This window comes from Homo sapiens, chromosome 6, assembly GCF_000001405.40.
Source record: "Homo sapiens chromosome 6, GRCh38.p14 Primary Assembly".
Classification (NCBI taxonomy): Eukaryota; Metazoa; Chordata; class Mammalia; order Primates; family Hominidae; genus Homo; species Homo sapiens.
Window position 1 is genome coordinate 168,158,646 of NC_000006.12, and position 21,747 is coordinate 168,180,392.

General features: G+C 45.0%; 2 annotated features.

Moving 5' to 3' along the window:
- Window positions 9,644-10,843: an enhancer, noted in NCBI's record as "P300/CBP strongly-dependent group 1 enhancer chr6:168568969-168570168 (GRCh37/hg19 assembly coordinates)". NCBI's record gives its function as "activates an origin of replication core promoter dependent on BRD2, BRD4, P300/CBP, MED14 and CDK7 cofactors, with strong dependence on P300/CBP, by STARR-seq in HCT116 cells {active_cell/tissue: HCT116}" and the evidence as "EXISTENCE:reporter gene assay evidence [ECO:0000049][PMID:35650434]".
- Window positions 20,988-21,695: an enhancer, noted in NCBI's record as "H3K4me1 hESC enhancer chr6:168580313-168581020 (GRCh37/hg19 assembly coordinates)". NCBI's record gives its function as "activates a minimal SCP1, AML or CMV promoter by ChIP-STARR-seq in primed H9 embryonic stem cells {active_cell/tissue: H9 hESC(primed)}" and the evidence as "EXISTENCE:reporter gene assay evidence [ECO:0000049][PMID:30033119]".

The following is a 21,747-nucleotide window of genomic DNA, read 5'->3' on the forward strand; positions in this document are numbered from 1 at the left end:
GCTAACCCTCTCCTATCATTGCCGGAGCATGGGCTTGGTAAAGGAAGTAGGTGCAAAATGCTGGATTTTATTGATTCTCCAAATGAAGTGTTCCCACAAGGCGAAGAGGTGGAGCTCCGGAAATGCTCACCGTGTCTGTCTTCTCCCTGGCATGGTGGGGCTGGCTGCACAAACACTCGAAGAAGTCTTTGAATGCCAGCCCTCAGCACGTGGGGCAGGTGCAATGGTGCCTGGAGTCTCAAAGCTGAGTCATGTAAGAATCCGCTTAAAATGGGTTCAATGTTGACAAACACTGACTTAAAAAAAAATTTAACACTGACTTTAAAAAGCCAGTCTATTAAAATGTCTTTCAACTGTAAATGTTTACATCAAAAGTTTCATCTTTATAATCACTAATTTAAAAAAACTACCAGTGAAGTGAACACACACACACACGCACTCTCACACACATGCACGCACACACACACACGCACATGTGTGCACACACAATGCACACACACGCACACACACAAAGCACATATGCACACGCACACACAGGCACACATGCACACACACCCGCGCACACACACGTGATTATCTTCTTTCTTTTTGAGATGGAGTCTCACTGTATCACCCAGGCTGGAGTACAGTGGTGCAATCTTGGCTCACTGCAGCCTCCGCCTCCCGGGTTCAAACCATTCTCCTGCCTCAGCCACCCGATTAGCTGGGACTACAGGCATGTGCCACCATGCCTGACTGATTTTGTATTTTCAGTAGAGATGGGGTTTCACCATGTTGGTCAGGCTGGTCTTGAACTCCTGACCTCAGGTGATCCACCTGCCTCAGCCTCCCAAAGCGCTGAGATTACAGGTGTAAGCCACCACGCACGGCCACGTGATTATCTTCTCACTCATCACTCTGAGTGCTATGTTTGAAGACCCCGGCTGAAGACCACTGATGTGATGTAAAGATCTGGGCTTTGCCAAGATGGATTTAAGTTTAAATTCCAGCTCCGCCACTCAGTGCCTCTGTAAATTTGGGCCATTTAAACTCTCCAGTCTGTTTATACACAAAGAGAGCAAACAGCATCTGCTCCACAGTGGCTGTGAGGCCTGCACGGAGTGTCAGGAGAGCATCTGGTACACAACAGAGAGACAATTGCAAGCTTCGCTCCGCTTTCTCCTGTAACAAATATTGATTGAATTGGTTGAATATTGATTTGGAAGCTCCATTAGCAGGTGAGTTTCCAAATGCTCACCTCCACTGAGGTGAGCTCAGGGGCTCCTCCAGGACAAAGCCAGTGGTGTGGGGAAGAACACTTTCTTCTGGGCCATTTGGGGTGAACTCCTGGGGTTGGGAGCACTGGCTCTAGGCAGCCTGTGTGTGACACCAATCTCGTTCGGACCTGGGACTTTATGCAAATGGCTTACTTCCTCTGTGCCTCAGTTTCCCTATCTATAAAATGAGGAGGGTAATAGTGCCTTCCTTAGAGGGCTGTATTAATGTTAGTCTTGGTTGTTATTATAGGAAAATGCATTTTTCCCCTCGGCCTTCTTTTGTTCAATCTCTTCAATTTTCTTCCTCTCTGATACATTTGTTATTTTTATCATGCCCCCTTTCCTGGACTAAAGGAGAATATTCAATTAAAGTAATGCAGTTTGAAAGCTCTGAAGGAGGAGTCTTTTCTTCCTCAGCCCCAATTACTTTGATAATTGGAGTGAGTCCTACATATGACCGCAGCTAAGAGCCATCGATGGGGAGATGGACACCACAATTTCCTATTTCATTACAAAAAATGGTGCCAATTAAATCGAGTCAAATCTTTCTTACCATTTAGACTTTTTACATTTTTTCTTACAGAAGGAGTAAGGGCTAATTCGGGCCCAGATTGTCAGATGTCATCCTTGTGAATGCATAAAAAGGAAACTGTAGTGGTGGGAACGGAAGGGTTCCCTGAAGCATGGTCGGAGACCCTGTCCTCGTTCCTTAAAGTCACTGATGACAGAGTGAGCAGCCGTCTGGATTGCCTGGGACAGAGGAGCTTTCGGTGCTAAAACAGGGACAGTCTGGGAAGCTGGGAGGCTGGGCCATCTTGGGTGAGGGGTGGTTTCTGCACACCGTCCACCATGTCCCTGAAGGCTTGGTCGACACACACTTCTTAGAGCACCTGCCTGACCTCCAGGGTTTCCTTCCCGCCCTGACAACAGTTTCGCAGGTGTGATGTTCACTTTCTTCGATCTTACGTGGTGGCATCCACCGAATGCTTTCAGCCAACAACCAGGACTTACATTTTATTTCCTAAACCTTATGCAGTTTATGGGTGAAAGCACTGGGGGGCATGGTTGTCTGGTGCGGTTTGTGGGTGAAAGCACTGGGGGGCATGGTTGTCTGGTGCGGTTTATGGGTGAAAGCATTGGGGGGCGTGGTTGTCTGGCGAAGGAGTTATGGGGTAACAACCATGTCACCTGTTCCTACCTTGGGGCCAAGACCTTGGAGCACCCGGAGGGCAGAAGTCTTTATCCCAGAGGTTCCAGCCCAGGGGCCTGTGCTGGGCCCCACCCCGTGGCTCTTCTTTTTGATCTTCAAGTGCCTGAGAGGCCCCTTCCTCTGCGGGCTGAGGCTTCTGCCAGGCGAAGCCCATGGCTCAGTGGCAGTAACGGCAGCATGGCCGAGGTCACTCGTGAGGAGGCAAGGATGTCCAGTCACGACCGCCTCCCCATAGTCCATAACAAGCAGCCTGACTCTAGAGAGGCCAGAATGTTGGGAATGCCGTAGATTTAATAATCAATGACGCGTGGCAACTCCACCTGGTCTGTGAGGAGCCCCACTGTCACCCTGGCCGTCCTGCCATCCCCCGACGGGGCGGCTTCCTCGGTGGGCTGCGCCTCTCCCCTCCCCATGCTGCTCCTCCCCAGTGTCTCCAGTGCTCCCCTTACCCCCCAGCCTGGCAGGCCCTTCTCTGGGTGCGGGGTGGGAGGAGCAGCCCCTGCCAGGCCCCCCAGCGACCCTTGCCCGCCTCAGCTCTGCACTGACACTGGGGTCAGGTCTTCGTTTTGGAATCCCGGGCCGGGTACTTGCTTTGGTCAAGACTGCCTTTGGTGCCCGCTGCTTTCCCATGTTGAACACTGACAACCGAAGCGTGGGGCATATCAATTATTTAAGCGATGATGAGGAATTATTTTTATTTTCAAGAGAGTTTCGAAGTTCTCTTTGAGTCCTGAACCATGAGTCTTCCTCAGCCTGGCAACTTTGCTTCTGATTTTCCGTGAATGTCGTTAGAATATGAACGAGGAGGTTCTTTGTGTCTCAGGCAATGCCAATCCCAAGAACAGAGCTTTCTCCTGCCGCACGGGTATGCACCATGTTCTCAATTATGTCTGCGGTTTTCCTCTCTCTGAGGGTCTATCCGCCCCACCTGTGGTGAGGACTGAAGGCTTACAGGTTAAACACAGCTATCCCTTCCAGGCAGAAGTGGTAATTTGTGCTCTGATCTCAGTGATGTTTTAACCATTAGAGGATGCTTTTTAACACCTTAAATTCCATCAGTCGGGATGGAAACTTGAAAAGGCTATGGGAAATACATTATTGCTCCATCTAAAAAGCTCCCTTCAAATGAGAATGAAGGAAAGGAACGAGCTACTGAATGCACCAGGCAATCTTCTTGCCCTCACTGTTAGAATCGCCCTATCCTTGCCTCTCCTGATCACTCAAACATAAAAGATATTAAAATATTTTTTTCCAGGTAAGACTAGTTGGCCACCGATCCACATTCTCAAGAGGAAAGTGTGATGATTTCTTGGTATGGCTGGTGCAGATTGAACTGAAAATCTGAGCCTGCCCAGGTTGAAGTGGCTCCAGCCCTGCGGTTAGCAGGACACTCATTTAGATGGAGGTGAGCAGTGGGGCGGTTCCCTCAGATGCAGCTGTGACGCTGAATTCCTGGCTCAAGTCTCAGACCTAGTGAGGTTGATATGTTCACAAACACTGATCTGTGTGCACTTCCGTTTGTCTAACACAAGATAAATTCAAGCGTGTGTTTATATGTTTGTATTTCCAACACAGAATGAAAGTGGCTCTTTTCTACTTGGATATATTACACATTTTTGTGACTTTCTTTTTAGACCTCTGAGCTCAGAGGCACCTCTGCTTATTCCTAAGGTTGAGTTTTTTTCTTTTTGGCTCTGTTTTCCAGAACTGAGGAGCATGGAATGTTGAGAGTTAGGGAAGATATTGGGAGTGGAAAAGGAACGAGTGGGTTCACCTTGGGTCAGTCAAGAGTTGGCCTGTTTTTATTTATTTACTTATTTTTTGAGGTGGAGTTTCACTCTTGTTGCCCAGGCTGGAGTGCAATGGCACCATCTCAGCTCACTGCAACCTCTGCCTCCCAGGTTCAAGCGATTCTCAAGACGGGATTTCACCATATTGGCCAAGATGGTCTACGAACTCCTGACCTCTGGTGATCTGCTCACCAAGGCCTCCCAAAGTGCTGGGATTATAGGCTTGAGCCACCACACCTGGCCTGCTTGTTTTTAAGTAAAATTCAAGTCAGTTGGTATTTGTTGACTCAGGGCCTCGTATTTGACACAGAAAGATGTCGAGAGGCGAGCAGAATCTCACTGCTGCACTGAGGGGCTCGCTGGCTGACGGTGGGAGGAGAATGTCTAACAACCTACCACATGCAGCAGATTCTCCTGGAAAGACGGGAGAGGCAAACGTGGCTACTGGTGTTTGGAGCAAGAAGAGATTTCAACAGCCCATGGTGAGGACTGGGAAAGGCTAAGTTATGGAAAACAGGGCTTTTTAATGGCTTGACACATCAGAACCCTCACATTGCTTTTAGAGTATGTAGGTCAGCTGGTTCTTCTGGCACGCATTTGCTGTGTCCAGGGCTGGTGCTCTGACAGCTGGAGATTCCCCAGATAAAGGCTTGCTGCTGGGCCGCACAAACCAGCTGAGGTCAAAGCACTGAGGAAGCTGCTCTGTGGCAGTGCCCTCGGCGGGAGGCAGGAGAGAGGCTGGCGTGGAGAAAACAGGGCTCGGGCAGCATCAGCTTTGATGTAACAGAGTGCTTCGTAAAACTCCCAACTTCCAGTGATTTGTTGATTGAAACATAATAGTTTCTGTACAGTTCTTTGGAAACCTAAATTTGTGGGTTACTTTCCGGTACTTTTTAAATTAATTTCATGTAAGCACCAGAAATATGATCAAAACAAACAATTGTAAACTTTGAGACTGTGACTGGACTCAGTCCCCTCACAGAGGAATGTAGGATAACTTTGAGCTTTAGAAAGACCTGCAGGACTGTCTGCAAAACTCCAAACAGCCCAGGGAGGTCCTCTGGCTGCTGCCCTGACCTCGGATAGGTCACGTCAGGGCTTTGGAGACTAACATGGTAAATGGGCTAGGCTCTGTGAATTCTTCAGGTATCAGTGAATTCTTCAGGGGTCAGTGATTCAAAGTTCTTAATTCTAGGGTTGTCTACCTCTTGTCGTTATCACTTAGGGGAACTAGAAACTGATTTACTTCAAGAGCCCCCTCCATCACGTTTTATGCAGACGTCAGAAAAGCATTGCACATTTTCACAGAGTTTCTTGCCATTTACTTATCACACGTAAATTGGCATAATTGAAAGAATACTTTCTTTAGTTCTGCATGGATGGTAAAAAGTTTCTGGAAATTTATTTCATTTTGAGAGTTACTTCCAGGGTTATTTGATGAAATTCAGATTTTTAAACAAATAATTTTAAGATTGCTTTCTAAGTAAGCATTTTTTATCTCATTCATGGGAAAAATGAGTAATCAAATTCGATTACAAATCATTTGATAGGTAAATAAAGCCTGATTTTTTAAAAAAGCACTTGGCTTTTTAAAATGAAGTGTTGAAATTATTTCCATTCAGCCATATTAGTACAGCTTTTCTTTCTAGATTTTCTTTGCTGCCAGGACTCCATTGAATATTGTGAAAAGAGTTACGATGCTGGAAAGCTAACACTGATGACAACGATGATGATGATGATGATGAATAACTGATATTTATTCATGACTTGGCAAGCATCAGGCATCATTCCAAGTGCCTCATATGTCTGAGCGCATTCATTCCCTTAGTACCTCTATGAGGCAGGGACTATTATCCCCATTTTACAGACCAAGAAGCTGAGGCAGTGAGACCGAATCTTGCCCACAGCTGCAGAGCTGGAATGCAGCAGAGCTGGGGGTGGAAATCAGGCTTTGAACCTTCAGCACTGCACTCCCAGCTCCCTTGTTAAAGACGAGATGTTTGCAACTCAAGTATCACCCTGAGGTCTGGGAGTGTGTTGTCTTCTCGACATGGTGTTTCTAGAGTCTAGCCCAGAGCCTGGCACATAGAAGCTACACAGAAATATTAGCTGAATGAACATCGATTTACCTGAAGGCGGGTAGGTCCATTTGGTGCATGTCATAGAGGATTTCCAGAGTTTGAAATGACATGTGTGACAATACAGCTTGGAAAACTAAGAGCAGAATATGTTTTGACAGAGGAGGTAGCAATTAGGCACCTTTGTTTTTGGAATACTAAATAGGATTTGGCATTTTGTGGATTTGGTCTTATTTTTTCAGACTCTAGGGAGGAGAAACAACATCATGCATCTCTTCCTGTGGTCAGGTGGATCTTGTCTATTTGGTGAAAGCTTCTCTGACAAATATAAGCTTTTATTTGGGTTACTGTGAAAGCATTGACTCTCTAATAATTATTTTCCCTCTTTTAACCTGCTGTCATGTTTGTTAACGAGGCCATCAGCAGAGCAAATTTAATTAAAGGGTGGATGGCAGGAGATGATGGGCCATGACTAATGGTTCCCGAGAGCATGGAAGAGTGTTTGGAAAGAGAGTCACTCCCTTCAGCCACCAGGACCACATCATTCTGTTATGTCATTTTTATTTTATGAGGGATGTTTTCTCGCTGGCATCATATGTTGAAACTCCTCCTGCCGCTCCTGTGAGGAGGGCTGGGCCTCGTCATCATCCTGGACCCAAGAACTGACCTCATGCTTGACTTTCCTGCCCACTCCCTGGGTGGGATGCACGAATCTCCACAGCATGTGGTCACCACATGGAGGGCTCAGTGCGTGGCGTGGTGTGGCACATGGGATGAAGCGCACACAGAAACCAAAGTGCTCTAAGAGCCACCTCTGTCACTATATCGTGATCATTTTGCCTGAGTTTGGTGTTGCTCCTGATGTTGGCTCCTTATGATAAATGTGTCTTTTATCTGTCCCCATATCAATAATTATCTAAAAATAAATCAACAACTAAAGTCTGCTGAAGATTGGATGGTTTGTTGCCTCAAACATGCAATTAATTTCCTTTCATTTTGATTCAATTCTCATTAAAAAAGCAGAAGTGAAGAAACACGGCAGACCATCCACCACACAGGGGCTTCGGCAGACCCTCCGCCATGCAGGGGCTCCGTGATTGGAGAGCCCTGTTCGGACGCTGGCACCCACTCAGCCTGGGTGGCTGTGGGCAGGGGTCTTACTTCAACCAGAGTCTGTGGCTCATGGTGGCTGTGTGTCTTCTGTATTCCAAGTCCAGGACAGACCCAGGACTGCCAATGGGACTACACAAGGCAGCCAGGTATGCTGTGAATTGTACAGCTGTACAGGGCTTCAAACAGCTCAGAACATTTTTGCAACATTTATGAATCTGTCTTTCCAATCGCGTATAATAGATATACTTAGGCCTATTTTATATAGGAGAGACTGAGACAGAGGTACTGAGCTCAGAACTGAAATCCAGGCCCTCTTCCATCGGGGTATTATTACTGTTATTATGCCAACCTTGTGATGGGTTGAACTGTGTCCCCAAAATTCATATGTTGCAGTTCTAACCCCAAGTATCTCCGAATGTGACCTTATTTGAAATAGGGTCTCTCTACAGAAGTAATCAAGTGACAGTGAGTTCATTAGGGTAGATCCTAACCCAGTACAACTGCTGCCCTGATAAAAAGGGGATATTTGGACACACGCAAGGAAGAGACACAGGAGAAGATGCCGTCTACACACCAAGGAGAGAGGCCTGGAACAGATTCTCCATCTAGGCTCAGAAGGGGCCAACCCTGCCGACACCCTGATCTGAGATTTCCAGCGGCCAGGACTGTGAGGCAATGGCTCTCTATGGTTTAAGTCACCTGGTGTGCGATCTTGTGTGAGGACAGCCCTGGCAAACTCAGAGAAGCAGGCTTCAGTGCCCCACACAGGCATCTGTCCTAGCTGGGTGGCCTTCTTAGGATGATGTCTTTGTAAATCCCAACGTGAGGCACATGGCCCCATTCCCCATGCTGCACAGGTGAAGCCAGAGGCCCAGAGCACCACTGCCTGTGACCTCAACCTGCAGGCAAATCTGCATGAGGACGTAAAGTGGCTTTTTATTCAACGGAGTCTTTGCCTTGACTCATCCCAAGGTTGTGTCTCCATAATGTGAAAACAACTGATAAAACCATTTGTATTAGTCCCTTCTGCCACTGCTATAAAGATACTACCTGAGACTGGGTAATTTATAAACACATGACTCACAGTTCTGAATGGCTGGGGAGGCCTCAGGAAACTTACAATCATGGCAGAAAGCACCTCTTCACAAGGTGGCAGGAGAGAGAGTGTGCAGGGGAAATGCCAGACACTTATGAAACAACCAGATCTCATGAGAACTCCCTCACTATCATGAGAAAAGAAAGGGAAAAACCGCCCACATGATCCAATCACCACCCCCAGGCCCCTCCCTTGACACATGGTGATTACAATTCAAGATGAGATTTGTGTGGGGACACAGAGCCAAACCATATCACCATTTTAATAAAACAGCCAAATGAATTGTCCAGCCTTGTGGAGAGGAAGGGAGAGGCCACCTCACAGAGACCTTTCTCCTTAAACTCAGCTAGGATATCCCAGGACAGAGGGTCATAGAGTAGCCGAGCCAGCGGGAATCAGAATCAGGATGAGATACATGCGGTGCGCTGGGGGCAGGTGCAGGGGAGGTGAGTGTGCTGGGGTGAGTGCTCTGGAAGTGAGTTAGAAAGCATTTCCAGGGACATTCCACCCAGCCTCCACCTGTCAGGTGGGCCATTCAGGTCCCAGATGGAGTCACATTAGCGTATCCATTCTCTCTTGCATGGCTTCTAAAGGCAGCGACGAGGGGGGTGATGATCAGTCCAACAATTGTAGGAACAGAACGATAACCCACATATTAATGGAGCTCTTCCAGGGAACCCGAGGCTGAGCCCCAGGGAAGCAATGGTGATGTCCTGGCTGCTGTGGTTGTGCAGTCTAATGGGAGGAGACATTCTAGACAAATTGTCAAAGCTCAGTACATAGAGGATGAGTAACAGGGGCAGCCTCCCTCCAGGGGTGACAGGGGCTGTGTGTGAGGGATAGGAGGTTGCTATGCGGGGGTGCAGGAGGATGGGCTGGGCTGGGTCATCCTGGGGTGGGAAGGGACAGAGCATCTGAGGAACAGAGATGAGGCCAGTGAAGCAGCCAGCAGCAAGGGGCGGGACAGCCAGGGGCAGGACGTGCCACCAGAGCTGTAGGCAGGAGACCAGCCTCAGGGGACCCAGGGGGGTTCACTGAAGGGCTGATTTTCATTGAGAAGGCATTGGGGGGACATGAACAAGCCTCTGTACAGAAAGTTTACTCTTCCTACAACATGGGAAATGGATTTGAGAGGGTTCAGCTGGGACCTTGAGGCCTGGGGAGCTGCTGCGGTGGCTGCAGCGTGGCCCTGGAGCTGGAGAGTGGGGGCAGATTTGAGGGAGGCCTAGGAAGTGAAGTCCAGAGGACCTGGGGATTGACGAGTCACGGGGGTGAGAGAATGTAAGCTCCACAAAGACGATGATTTTGTCGATATTCTTAGCTTTTGTATCTGCAAAGCTTGTATAAGGGTTGCTCATAGAAAGCGCTGAATACAGTCATTAAGCGAGGGACTTCCTGAATACAGTCATTAAGCGGGGGACTTCCTGAATACAGTCATTAAGCGGGGGACTTCCTGAATAGTCATTAAGCGGGGGACTTCCTGAATACAGTCATTAAGCGGGGGACTTCCTGAATACAGTCATTAAGCGGGGGACTTCCTGAATACAGTCATTAAGCGGGGGACTTCCTGAACACAGTCATTAAGCGGGGGACTTCCTGAATACAGTCATTAAGCGGGGGACTTCCTGAATACAGTCATTAAGCGGGGGACTTCCTGAATACAGTCATTAAGCGGGGGACTTCCTGAATAGTCATTAAGCGGGGGACTTCCTGAATACAGTCATTAAGCGGGGGACTTCCTGAATACAGTCATTAAGCGGGGGACTTCCTGAATACAGTCATTAAGCGGGGGACTTCCTGAACACAGTCATTAAGCGGGGGACTTCCTGAATACAGTCATTAAGCGGGGGACTTCCTGAATACAGTCATTAAGCGGGGGACTTTCTGTGTCGCTCATCAAGGCTGATGCTCAGGCTTTAGCCTGCACTGCTAGGGCGTGGCTGTGTCACCCACTGAGGCATACGGCACAGGACAAGGACTGAAATGGGAAACTGAATCCACGTGGGGCATTGCCCATTACAGAGCAAGGTGTTCCAGCAGAGACTTCCCAGAGCCAAGTCTGGCACAGATGTCGCTTCTCCATGCAAAGTTCCCTACACCCCAGGTCGATGTAGCCTTTTGTAGCTTGGCTCTCAGGACACCGGTCCACATTACTCCTGTGGTTACAATCACACTTTGCTTTATCACATTTCAACACTGAGCAATGAATGTGAGCAGGTGAGATTGCTGGATGTTTGCATTACAGCCTGGGAGGAAGAAGAACAGGAGGGCAGAGTGTGGTGCACTTACAAAATATTCGCCTCGGTGGAGGAAATGTGTGCTAAGAAAAAGATCCTCATTTTGGAAAAGCTTAACTGCTTTAATGAAGTAAATGTAAAGTTTTCTTCAGGTGAACGTTAAGATTCACTGACTTAAAAATAAAGCTTCGGCAGGGCCAGTGTGTGTCCTCTGTCCCCATGAACCACTCTGTCTCAGGAAAATGAATTCCACGTGGGATGAGTGGTGTGTTGGTGATTTTCCACGAGGGTTGAGTGGCGTGTTGGTGATTTTCCACGTGGGTTGAGTGGCGTGTTGGTGATTTTCCACGTGGGTTGAATGGCGTGTTGGTGATTCTCGCATGTTTTGGGGGTGTTTATGGCCTGCGATTTTTCTGCAGAATCCCTGGGGTGTAGCAAGGGAGGCCCAGGCCACCCTGGTCCCTCCTTCTTTGGACAGGGTTTACTCTTGGGCTTCTCTGATGTGACAGTCCGGAGCTGGATTCACTCCCATGGTCTCTCCCAATCACCCATGAGGTTCTGCTTAGATTTAAACAGACAAGGGTCAGAGATGACACGTGGAAGTGACGTGCTCACTAAGTTGTGTCTTCAGAAGCAGTTCCGCTGTGAAAGTTGTCAGAATCAAAATGGAGTCACTTACGTTAAAACCCTGAAAAATAGAGCCAGGAAAGGCTGTAAAGGGAGGGTTCTTATGTATGAATGCCTGACAATAGGAACTGTCACAAAAGACTCTGCAAAACCCACGTCTTCATACAAGAGCATCTCGACCTTACACAAAAGTACAGACATCTGCCCAGCAACTGCCTGTCCAACCCGGGACTGGCACCACCTTTGTTATTATTGATTCTTGTAGCTAAGAATAATTATCTCAAAACAATGATGTGACCTCCATCCTCATTTTTCCTTTAAAAACCTCCATCTTCCTTTACCTCCCTGAATATGCACATAGTTTACTATAGCAGACGTATTCTCGTTGCAATGCCTATTCCCAAATCAATGTCATTTTCTTTTAGAGAGCCTGTCTCTGTTTGTTCTTTAGGCTGACAAAGATGGTGCTCAGTGCAGGAGCTGAAGAAACATCACGACTGGAAGGATGGGCTGTTCTTGGACCTGTGTGCAGTTCTCACTGGACCCCGTTGAGCTCTCTGTTTCCATGGGGATTCCATCACCTCTTCTGCCTAGGTGAGTCCTCTCTCAGGCTGAGCCGCCCTCATTTCGGTACAAGCTTTTTTACTCTGTCTGGGATTTGGTTGGGTTATAAGACCACCTGAAATAAAAGAGCTCACACCCCTTCTGGGATAATGGGGGACTTTTTGCCTTCTTGGCAAGTTCTCTTGGGTATAAAGGCCAGTGCCCCTCTGGTTTGAGTGCCATGCTTCCTGTGGATTTTACCTTCTGCCTCCGAGGCTCTTGTCTTCTCGGGTGGATTGACTTTGGACTCTTTCTGCCCAACATAATGTTTTGTTGGATCGGAGTGTCTAGTTAGAATTTTGTGAGTGCTCTGATGTTGGCTCATTTTGGTTTAGTTTTGTGCATCTGTAAATAATTTGGCTCTTTTTCCCCTTGACTGTTTCTAAAAAATCTTCCCAGAGCAAACACAAACATTCTTCATGGTGGGTGTGGGATGGCTAACTAGAAGCCACTCAGCAGTTGCCGCCGTCTAAGACACTGACCCAAGCTCCTGACACTGCTCCACAGGATCTATGGGCTTTTCTTGGCTCTTGAAGAAATGAAATGGAATTCTCAAATACTAAGGCCACCGAGATTTCTGGGACTCCAAATGGTTACAAGCATTTCCCGGCGCATGTGTTTACATCACTGGTCATCATGGGGACCTTTTTTTCTTTTTTTTTGAGATGGAGTCTCGCTGTATTGCCCAGGCTGGAGTGCAGTGCCGCAATCTTGGATCACTGCAACCTCTGCCCCCTGGATTCAAGTGATTTGCCTGCCTCTGCCTCCTGAGTAGCTGGGATTACAGGCGCGTGCCATCATGCCCAGCTCATTTTTCTATTTTTAGTAGAGACGGAGTTTCACCATGTTGGCCAGTCTGGTCTCGAACTCCTGACCTTGTGATCTGCCTGCCTTGGCCTCCCAAAGTGCTGAGATTACAGGCGTGAGCTACCGCTCCAGCAATGGGGATCTTTTGAACTCCCCAAGCTCATTTTTCCTTCAGGCTACAGCTACAGAGTTAACTTGTAGAGTCTTTTAACTTTTCTCTCTCTCTCTATATATATATACATATTTTTTTCTTCCTACTTTGCATTTGCTGACTCTTCTGCAGATGTTGAGAAAAAATTCATTGCTTATCACATGCCAGACAAGGTTTTAAAAAAGTCTTAACGGGCTTTCAAATTACTGACTTTACAAATTACCACACCTCCATGGCAACCAACAACAACCAAGACACCTTTTGGAAATGTAAATTTAGGTTTGCCTGACTAACAATTGCTTAGAGTAATGGAACAGTTAACTGAAGGAATGACATTACAAAAGAAAAAGTAGTAGAAATTGTTTATAAAATTAGGCCCTAAGATCAAACAGGTCAAAATCTTGAGTTCACAGAAAAAATATAAAAATATTTCTGTCTGGCATAAAAGTTGTTTTGTCTTGCCATGAAGGGGCAGAAAAGTAAAAAAACTCTGCTAAAATGGTTCCCTGCCTGCATAGACTAGTCAACCAAACCAGACTGGTAAAACCAGATAGATTTATTGCGGGTCCAAGGCCACCTGGAGAATTTATTGTATATAATTCAGCCAGCCCTAGCAGAAATGTCAACACTGAAAATTCAACCCTAAACTCATTTGAAACTGAACAAACGGTAAAAAAGAACAAAGTTTTCTTTAAAAGTCAAACTGCTATGGAAACTGCTTTACCCAAAACGTTGGTCCACCACCTTCATTAGATTATCTGTCAGGGAAAAAAAAGTTTAGCCACGTGAAGGTGTCCCAATTTGTCGGAAACATAATTTGGGTCTAACTGTCTTTTCTATACTGATGAGTTGGTATGTTTACCGTATCATGACTAAAATCCTAAAATGCAAACTGTAAGATCTTTGTGTGTACACGTGTGTTTAGGTGTACTTACATGTATCCACATGTATGATGTTATATATTACATCTACATGGTAAAATCTGGCATAATCAGCTAAAAATTCCTTCAGAAAATTTATTCAGTTTGGCTTAAATAGGTGCTCATAGAAGTTGTTAAACTATATAGTAATTAAGTATCTCTTAGTTCACATGACTTCAGTAACTGATAAATAAGCTGGTTTTAACATTGTTGTTAAAATAAAAATAGAAATGTTTTTAAAATTGTCAGCACACATTTTTACCTGAGGTTGCTGGCCAGACGGTTTTATATTTGTCTTCACTTAAGGCGTCACGGTTTGACACCAAGGTTATAAAACTATAAACTCAGCCTAAAAGCAGAATAATATTTGTTTGTATAACTCTTTGATAAATAAGGCTAATATAATGTTATTGATTTAAGAAAATTAGCTGTATCTTCTGAGTCATCACCAAAATATCCATGTATTTTACTTTAAGTTTCTTACTTAGGTGAAGTACATTATATTCATAGGCTAGAAAAATGGTTACTAGGAAAATAACAAAATGATTAGCTTTGTCTAATATCTTAGTTTTCATAAGTAATATAGGTAAACCATTAAAAATAAACAAATTAGGTAAATTTAAATGGGATAAACATTTACGAATGAGCTTTGCATGTAAAGTCTTAACGTCATGTTAAATTAAGTTGTGGATACCCATAAAATGTCTGGGTGATTCTCAAATAAGATAAAATGTTAATATTGGACAGACAGTTCAAAATTGCTTTGGTTTTAACTAAAAATTAGGGTTACTAAGAGTTAAAATTTGGATTTATATATTTATGTGTGTATGTGTGTGTGCATATATATATGATTCTATATAGAAAGTGTGCCAAAACTTAAGATGTGCTTTTAATGACAAAAATGAGGAAGGCATAAAGTGTGTTTTTTATTGAAAAAAGAGCAATTCTGTCTAATTCAGAGCTTATTTTAAAAGGTTGTTTCAAAGTATGGATTAAAGAAAAAAATAGAAGCAAGATAGAAACTGGTAAATAGGTGACAAAGATATGAAAAGAGTTTTAAACATAAAATTGTATTTATGGTAAAAAAAAGTTTAAAAAGAGAGTAATTTTGTAGGAGAAAGAATCTTGAGTGGTGCATTTTTGTCTTAAAGTAAAATAACTGGTTATGTAAGAAAGAGGATGCATGGGGCAGAGCAGAAAGTCTTAAGTGTGTAGTGGGAGGTCTGTGCAGGTCACAAATGGTTCATGAAGGATAGATTTATGAAGGGAATGTGTGTGTAATCAAGTTGGCTATAATTAAAAGAAAATTATTTATATGTCCATCTAAAGATTGAGATTTGATATTAAAAATACACTGATACAAAACTTGACCAGCCTAAGCAACATAGCAATATCTGTCTCTTTTTTTAACTTGTATTTTAGGCTCAGGGGTACATGGAAGGGTTTGTTATATAACAGGGGTTTGTTGTGCAGATTACTTCATCACCCAGGTATTAAGCCCAGTACCCAATAGTTATCTTTTTTGCTCCTCTCCTTTCTCCTACCTCTTTTTTTTTTTTTTTTTTAACGAGGGGGAAAGAAAAAAAAATACACTGATACAAAGCTAAAATTTTCCCCCCATGTTAGAACAACAAGATTTTAAACAAAAATATTGATCTGCTCTTGGTAAATATTGCAAAAGGTTTTGATTTCTAATTCTGAAGTCTATTTCTTTACATTTTCAACCATCTCCTGAAGGGCAGCTTCTTCCTGTTTTAGTTAATGTTTCTGCCAATTTTTTTTCTGAGATCCATTTAATGTACCTAGTTTCAGCTTAGGAATGCTGTTTTCTTCATTGAGAATAATGATTTTATTTCTCAGGGTGGAATTTCTCTCCAGAAGCTTCTCAGGTTCCTGTTCAGAAGTTTCCCTTCTGCTGTTTCTTGCTGTATGTGATTTGCCAGCCATGCACCATTGCCTTCAGCTCTTTCTCCCCTGAGAAGGCTCCGGTAGTGACTCTCTCCTTTAATTTTTTTGTCAGCTCCTATAACTTTTTTCTCTGGTTTTGTCTGCTGTTATAACCTGACACTGAAAATTCTGTCTTGAAAGCCTAGAAAGGCATATAAATTCAGTACAACTTGAACTCCTGGCTTTTCTCAGTACGTCTGAATTTTTCCATGTAACAGGAAGCTCATCATGCTGTTACTAGAGGCCATGTGTTCCCGTGCTCAAGATACTAGCGATGTTGTTCATGTTCCATGGTCTACACTAATGACCTTGGACACACACTCTTGCTGTGTCTTATTAAATTCAAGTAGCTTTTCCATCAGGTTTGACTTCTAGTTTATCAAAATGGGCTTCCAAGAAGCCATCACATTGCAGGAGGATTTTCTTTAACTTTTTGGTAACATGCCTAAAGAAACAAAGATTTTACATGTTATCAAGATAATTTCCTCAGTTGTCTTTATTAGTTTTTGATTACTTAGACAAACTGTGCTTTGAAAGGGTTAAGGTTTCTTTATAAATCCATGTAACTTTCTGTATTGCTATTAAAGTCTCTATCACGAGGGTTAAATGAATGACTATTACTTCCACAATGACTTGTGATTCTGTTTTTATCAAATGTTTCAACACTTTTGGTATCTTTGATGGGCTCCCCCAATATCAAAATTCTAAATTAAGTAGTTTTGACCTAAAATTATAGATTGTCCATTCAGGCCCTTAGGGAGTCTAAAATGATGTCTCTCTCATCTTGTAGAAATATTAAATGATAAGGCTTTTTTGGCAAATTGCATGGTAAGCACTGTCAGATGGTGAGAGATGCTAGAGATTCCTTCAGTTACATTGATGGGTATGTTATTGATACGAATGTTCCAAAATTGCACAAAACTCTGAGAAGTCTAGGACATCATCAAGTCCTAATTCTGTTTTTTTTTATGCTGTATGCCACAAATTAACCAAGTTTTCTTGTCAATTTCTGATAATGGTAAATTTTCGTTCAGATTTATAACCATGGCTATTCTAACTCTCTGTGATTCACAGTTACTGTTTTAAGTCTCTGTCTGAAAGCATCTGCAGTCAGATTTGTGAAAAGACTCCAATAAGTACTCTTAATTACAGTTTTCTTATAACTTTAAGATCAATAGACTAAAGATTTTTAGAACGTTAATGAGGAAATGGATGGGTTCATGAAGCTGATAATGGAGATCAAGCAGAACAAAAATTAATCACATAAGCTGAATAACTGATGGAAATAATATTTCTATGACTTTCATCTGGGACATTGTTGGAAATTTTTTTGTTTTCCAGACTTAAGGAAATTTTCTCTCTTAAGCTATCTACAGCTTATGATAACTTGGTGAAGTATACTTTTGTGAACAAAGATGGAAGTATTTCCTTTTTCTCCCTAATTGATTCTGCCAGGAGTGGAAACTGTCAGGATGTATTCTTATTCTCATTACTTTTTGGCAATATGGCTATTCGCATAATTTCAATATGAATTCACTCTCCCTTGCAAAGAGGATACAATTGAAAACATTGGTTATATTGCCAAGGTTTTGTCTGAAATATCACATTTGGGGATGTGCATAGAATGCCTGTTTGTAAGGGTTAGTAGGATCTTATAGTCACTAAAGTTGTCACTTTCTGGCAGGCCCAGGAACCTCGAGACAGTAGGTGGAATCTACAGTCAGTATTAATTTGACTTTCTAGCCTCAAGAGATTTTAAAATCTGAGATTCCTGTGTGATTAATGTAGAGAGAAGAAGTTATGTTTCTGAGAAAACCTGCCCATACACCTGTTATTAGATTACAGCTCTGTGCATTGTTTTAGAGTTCTTGTTTCTACCTATAGACTAGACTAAATCCTAAATTCTAGGTTCCTCCAATCCAATTTTTTTTCCATAAAGGTACTAAAAATGGAAACCATTCCTGAAGTCCTGTAAGCTGAACCTAGGTTAATTTTAAGGAACAAGTCCGATACCCAATGTATAAGTCAAAAAAAAATTCACCAAACCTCCTGATGCCATAACCAGAGACATTCAAATTGTAAACCAACAGAAGTTGATGGTTTCACACTATAGATAGTCTTTCATAAGATTATGGAAACAAGACTCTATGTTGCAATGACACTCTTACTTGTCTTAATGCCTTTTAAACTTGACCGAATAGTGGTCATTTAATGTATTTAATTGGTGGCCTTTCAGCCTACGTTCATGTCTCAAAACCATGATATAACCTGGGTTTGAGAGATTACTCTTAATTTTAATCTCTATTGTCCTTTTTACATTTTGTCTCTGTTGCTTGTCAAATTTCTGCAGAAGGACAACTCCTAGCAGAAGGATGCTGGCCCAGCACTTTGAGTTGATAGCCAACACCTACAGAACAGATGAAATTGAGCTTAATAACAACTTAACAAAATTGAACTCCAAGCAGGCTTAGTCTGAGGACCACTCCCTCCAGGCCTCCCTTCTTGCTCAAATGTGGCTGAATGGATTTCAACACTGACTCCTTGTCACCAGTCACTCCCTCCAATGTAGAAGCAGACCAGACCAAATCAAGACAGGTCCATCCTTACACTGAGGGAAAATCAAAACCTAACTGCAGGATGGTTGATCAGAGAAAGATCTTGATCAAAAGAGGAATGTGAAAGTTACCAGAACCAAAATGGAGTCACTTGTGTTGAAAACTCTGACAAATAATACAGGAAAAGGCCATGAAAGGAGGGTTCCTAAGCATGAAAACAATCACGATAGACTCTGTGAACGATGCGAGCCTGCACAAAGGCCCACTGCAGCTTACACAAAAGGCACATCTGCACAGCAAGTGCCTGTTCAACCCTGGACTGGCCCCCTCTTTTTATTGATCCCAGTAGCCAAAGAGAATTCTCTCAAAACAATGATATAATCCTTCTCATTTTTCCTTTAATAACTTTGTCTTCCTTCATCCTTCGGAATACACACATAGTTTACTATGGCATGCTATTCCCATTGCAGTGCCCTATCCCCGAATAAATATCATTTGCTTTTAGAGGGCCTCTCACTGTGTGCTTTTTAGGTTGACACACCTTGATCTGTCCTTTGTCATTAGGGGAACCTGAGTGCTGTTTGATACACTGAGGGCAGCAAGATAACCCCATTGCCCAGAGTCCTGCCTGGCTGCCCCATCCGGTGGCTGCCCTTGGCACACCTGCGCCCTCCTGCCTCCTTCCCCACGCAGGCTCCTCCTTGTCTCCTGCACCTGGAGCCCAGTTTCTCAGACTGTCTCCACCAAATGTCCTCTGTGTCTCTACCCTCTCTCTTCCCATTGCTCCTCTTCTCACCTGCTTGCATCTCTTCCTCCAAAAGAAAGAAAGAAACCTTCTCCCTGGGGCCCAGCATTATGATCTATGCTGCCCCAAACTCTTCTTTTCTTACAGTCAAACTTCTTCTCTTTTTCTTTTCTTTTTTCTTTTCTTTCTTCCTTCCTTCCTTCTTTCTTTTTTTTTGAGACAGTCTTGCTCTGTTGCCCAGGACGGAGTGCAGTGACATGACCTGGGCTCACTGCAACCTTCGCCTTATGGGTTCAAGCCATTCTCGTGCCTCAGCCTCCCGAGTAGCTGGGACTACAGATGCGCACCACCACGCCCGGCTAACTTTTGTATTTTTAGTAGAGATGGGGTTTTGCCATGTTGGCCAGGCTGGTCTCGAACTCCTAACCTTAAGTGATCTGCCAGCCTCAGCCTCCCAAAGTGCTGGGATTACAGGCGTGAGCCACCATGCCCAGCCCAACTTTTTCTAAGCGTGCCCTGACCTGTGGGCCCATTCAAATCGCAAACCAGGAGAAGCTGATGGTTTCACACTATAAGTAACTTTCCCCCCGACCCTCCCCCTGGGGGCCACAGCAGATCCACGTGGCGAAGCTCAGCAGCTTTCGGTCTCTGTCTCCTTAGACTCCTCGTGAGCAGCCAATGGTGCTGACCACAAGCGCTGTGCACATCTCTGGGGTCAGACTGTCGGGAATCTGCTTCCCATTCTACCACTTATTCACTGTGTGCTGGGCAGATGACTCCAATCCTCTGTCTCCTCGACTGTAAAGCAGTCCTGGACCTCAGCTAGTTTGTGGGAGGATTCCGTGAAATAATGAGGCAGTCAGCCCAGTGGGGGAAGATTATAAGCTCCCTGTAAATGAAGCGGTGGTTGTTGTTATTCTTTTATCTGACCCACAGAGTCACGTCTGCTTGCCTGCTCTTGTGTTTCTAACGCAGCGCCTGCCTGCGGCGTAGTGAATATTTGTGCAGCAGATTGGCAGTATTTCCGGGTCAGCCTCATTCCTGAGCTCAATACCCACAAATCCAATGGCTTCTAGTGCATCTTCATCCAGATGTTCCTTAAGCAGCTCAAAACCAGTGTTGCCTACAAATGGAAATCACCCTTCTCTCCTCTCCCTGGCCTGCTGTCCATCTAAACCCGCTTCTCTTTCTGTAGCTTATCTCTTGATCACAGAACAATCTCCCCTTTGCCCAAAGTCTCAATTTGAAAATTAGCTTGGACCTTCTCCTCTTCTTAACTTTTACATCCAATTCATCACCAACGAATTTGAATTCTACCTGTGAGCTTTTCTGGGCTTTGCCCTACTCTCCCTCTGCACCGAAGCTCTGTCAGGCCGTCCTGGGCCCCTGCAGTACCTGGTTCCGGGGTTGACTTCTGTTCCCTTCTGGGGTGGATAAATACCCTGTGGTTGACGCCAGAGGGAGTTTTTGATGAGCAGCTTGCCCTGACTGTGGGAGAATGCACCCCTCCACCGCCACTGAACTGACAGGGGAGGGACCCTCGATAGGAGTCACAACTGAGGCGAGGACCACCTGCGGGGACGGGACCCTCGAAAGGAGTCACAGCTGAGGCGAGGACCACCTGTGGGGCCACCTGGCCAGGGAGATGGTACGGTGCCAGCTTCTCTCCTCTGGGAGGAACGCGCCCCTCTGGGTCAAACAAAGAGCCTTCTGAGTCCCAGCTGCGAGTCCCAGCGTCAGAGCTAGAGAACAGGCCTGGGGGAAAAAAAGGACCTTTCGAGGTGTGGAGTGACAGGAAAGCTGTCTCTTCACCCTCTGAAGGTTCACTGGAAAATCAACTGTCAAAAGGCAGGTGAATTGGAGAACAGGCATACAAACTGATTAACTTGTACACAGAGGCCTTGGGACTGAAGACCCAAAGACACAGGGGAATTGGAGGGGAATTGGCCATCTCTATACTTGGGCTCAAGGCAGTGTGGATGGCCGTGTAGGAATGTGCCTGGATAGAAAGGGCCCGACCTAACGCCGATGGGCTGAGGGGGCGGCAGGGGCGGCAGGGGCGGCAGGGCCTAACGTGGACGGGCCGAGGGGGCGGCAGGGCGTAACGCGGGTGGGCGGAGGGGGTGGCAGGGCCCATCTGTCCAGGTTCCTCTTGGCCCCTCTGGGGAGCATCCCTTCCCTTTGTGGGGCGGGGCCCTCTCTGGAACGGGGATCTCATGACCTGCAGTCAAACAAGGTATGTCCGATAATTTCCTCACCGCCAGTTTTTACAGAGAAAGGCGGAGGAAAGTGGGAGTCCTATTTCCAGGTTTTATGGCTGGCTTTGGGGAGAAGGGTCCTGGTTCCTATGACTCTCCTGGAGGAACAGGGATTCTTGTTTCTGTGGTGCCTCAGGGGAGAATGGGGCCGAGAGGCAGGGACGGCAGGAGAAGGTCGGGGAAACCTTTTGCTTCTGAGGCCGCTGCTGAAGCCTGCATTTTGGGGGATTGTCTTCTGAGTCCCAACAGCAGCTAAGCGATTATTTAAGAATATTTTCAACTGTTAATAGTTTCCATCTATTCAGCCTTTTAAGCTGAGTTGGCCAATCTAATCCTAAAAATTGTTAAACTGTA